The sequence below is a fragment of the Homo sapiens genome, chromosome 19 (genome assembly GCF_000001405.40).
Source record: "Homo sapiens chromosome 19, GRCh38.p14 Primary Assembly".
NCBI classification, from domain to species: Eukaryota; Metazoa; Chordata; class Mammalia; order Primates; family Hominidae; genus Homo; species Homo sapiens.
In genome coordinates this window covers 29,143,799-29,146,082 of record NC_000019.10, presented here as the reverse complement: position 1 = coordinate 29,146,082, position 2,284 = coordinate 29,143,799, and the positions used below count along the sequence as shown (strand labels likewise).

Below are 2,284 nucleotides of genomic sequence, written 5' to 3'. Positions count from 1 at the left end.
GGAGCCCCACTCTGCAGACCCTCCAAGCTAGGTATTTATTTGACACTCAGTGAGGAGAGGAAACGCTAGTCCTCTCCCCAAGCTTAGCTGTGACGGGAAGTATGATCCACTGACTGGGCCGGGGTCACCTCTGGGGCCTGCACAGGTCAATGAGCATGGCAGTCATTTAGTGGCAGGAGGTTGCACGCTGCCTCCAAAGTGAATTGCTGCCCTTAGCTCTGTGTGTTTCCAGAGCCTCTGATTTTTCCTGAGAAGCTGAGATTTACATTCTTATGTGCAGCTATCTGATTTGAAACTATTGGCAACTAACTCAGTGTTTTATGAAATTCAGTGAAGCACTTCTATGGCCTGTGGATTGAGACAACATTAGTTGACTCTTTTCTTCCTTTTGTCTTGTCCTTCTCTGCTTTCTTCCCTCCTTCTGGGTTGGTGCACAAGAGGAGGTGATTTATTGTACCTTGTAGCTAATGTCTGGCCTCTGCGGGGACTTGTGTGTCCTTGGTCTGCCCCTTCATGGCCTGATTCCCACCACCAGCCTGCTGGGTGCATTTGGCAGTCACTTAACTTCTGTGCCTAAGTTTGTTCTCTAAGAACACTTAAATCCCTCCAAGTAATCGAGGGATAATTATAACTGTCACGGTGCCACCTCCAAGGACTGGGGTGCAAATTAATGAAGTGCTTCTTCTCACATGTCTGCAAGCACCTTTGGAAGAACTTGCTACTTTCTCACAGAACGTTATTCATCCCCTAGCAGGTGGAAATTACAGACCTGATAGGGCAATGTTCCTCAAAGAGTGGCAAGCCTACCTTTGCACCAGAATCCCCTGGGGGGCTGAGGAGGTAGTCTTCCTTGCTAAAATGCTGATTCCCAGTCTCTACCCACTCTATGAAATGAAATCCCGAGAGATTGGTGCTTGGAGCTATGTGTTTTTAACAAGCATGCTCCCACCTCCCAGTGATGTTAACATTCCTTAAAGTTTGATAAGGACACTTGAGCCTTGGGAGAAAGCAAAGGGGTGTCTGTGAAAGAAGTATTGGGTGAGAAGGGGGTGTCAAAAATAAACACAGCCGGATACTACTTAAAGTGGTGAAAACAGATGTTATCCAGTAACTACTGGATAACAGTAGTTATCCACAGTAGTTATCCAGTAACTACTGGATAACAGTGGTTATCCAGTGCGGGGAAGAGCAGAGCCCCATTCTGATTCCTGCAGAGGTGAGCTGGGTGTATTAAAGGGAGAAGGAGGAAGTGGGAAGAGTGGGGGCTCAGCAGAGCCAGAGAAGGGAAAATGGTCAGAGGGTTGGTTGGGGTAAATGCGGTGAGGCCAATCGGGTCTGCCAGTGGGCAGTGATCTAAGTTAGGGCTCCATTCTCTGACAGAGGCTGGGAGACAGAGGCACTATCCTTCTTAATGACTGCATTTCAAAGGAACAGCTCTTGGGTCCTCCACAAGGATGCTCCTGAGTTGCAGAAGATACATTCACAATTATAAGCTCATTTTAGTAAATGCTTTAAGAAAGGGAGGTCAGAGGCCCAGGTCAGGTGTGGCCTGGAATGAAAAGTAAACTTTCCTGGCAATGTTGATCTTTCTCAGGCAGGCATTTTAATCGGGGGCTGGGGTCATCCTGGGGACATGGCCTCATCCTGCTAGGACCCATGCTGGAGTTTGGTCAAGCATCTTAGGGCAGGGGTCTGAACAGAGTCTTTAAGTTCTGAGAGTTCTGCAGTTCTTAGGGACATCTAATTCAGTTTTCTTCAAGCCTCTGACAATTGCTTATTAAGGCTGTGGAATTATTTGACACAGAATAGGAGTATAAGTCTGGACATTTTGGATGATGGGCAGAGGTGGTATAGACAGCTCTGGAGACCTAGAGAGCTGGGTTCAATCCCAGAGCTGAAGCCAGAGAAAGTTTACTTCATCTTTCTGAGCCTCAGTTTCCCCATTATGGCTCCAGGACAAAAGACTAGGGAGTGACTGTCCCATAGAAGCCAGATGCAATCAGGGCACCCACAATTAAGTCAGGAGAATTGGACATGAGTGTGGTCAATGCTACCTGGATCTGCCTGGAATCAAATAAATAAGAAACAAATATGTTTTAAGAGAATTCTGCTGCAAAAGAATCACAGACCTGGGCAAATACAGCCAAAGCCTGTCTGGGGCTTAAAACAACCCTTGAGCCCCCGGCCTCATCTGGTCAGGAAGCAGGCTGAGGAAACAGAACTGTTTCCACAGGTAGAGCTTATTTTCTGCCACCCTCATTAGAGGGGGACAAGAATAATAGAA

The 2,284-nt window shown here is 47.2% G+C and overlaps 1 annotated feature.

Annotated features, from left to right (window-relative positions):
• Nucleotides 816-991: a silencer, noted in NCBI's record as "fragment chr19:29635999-29636174 (GRCh37/hg19 assembly coordinates)". NCBI's record gives its function as "represses an EF-1alpha promoter that drives an FKBP-Casp9 reporter gene in an ReSE screen in HepG2 liver carcinoma cells {active_cell/tissue: HepG2}" and the evidence as "EXISTENCE:reporter gene assay evidence [ECO:0000049][PMID:32094911]".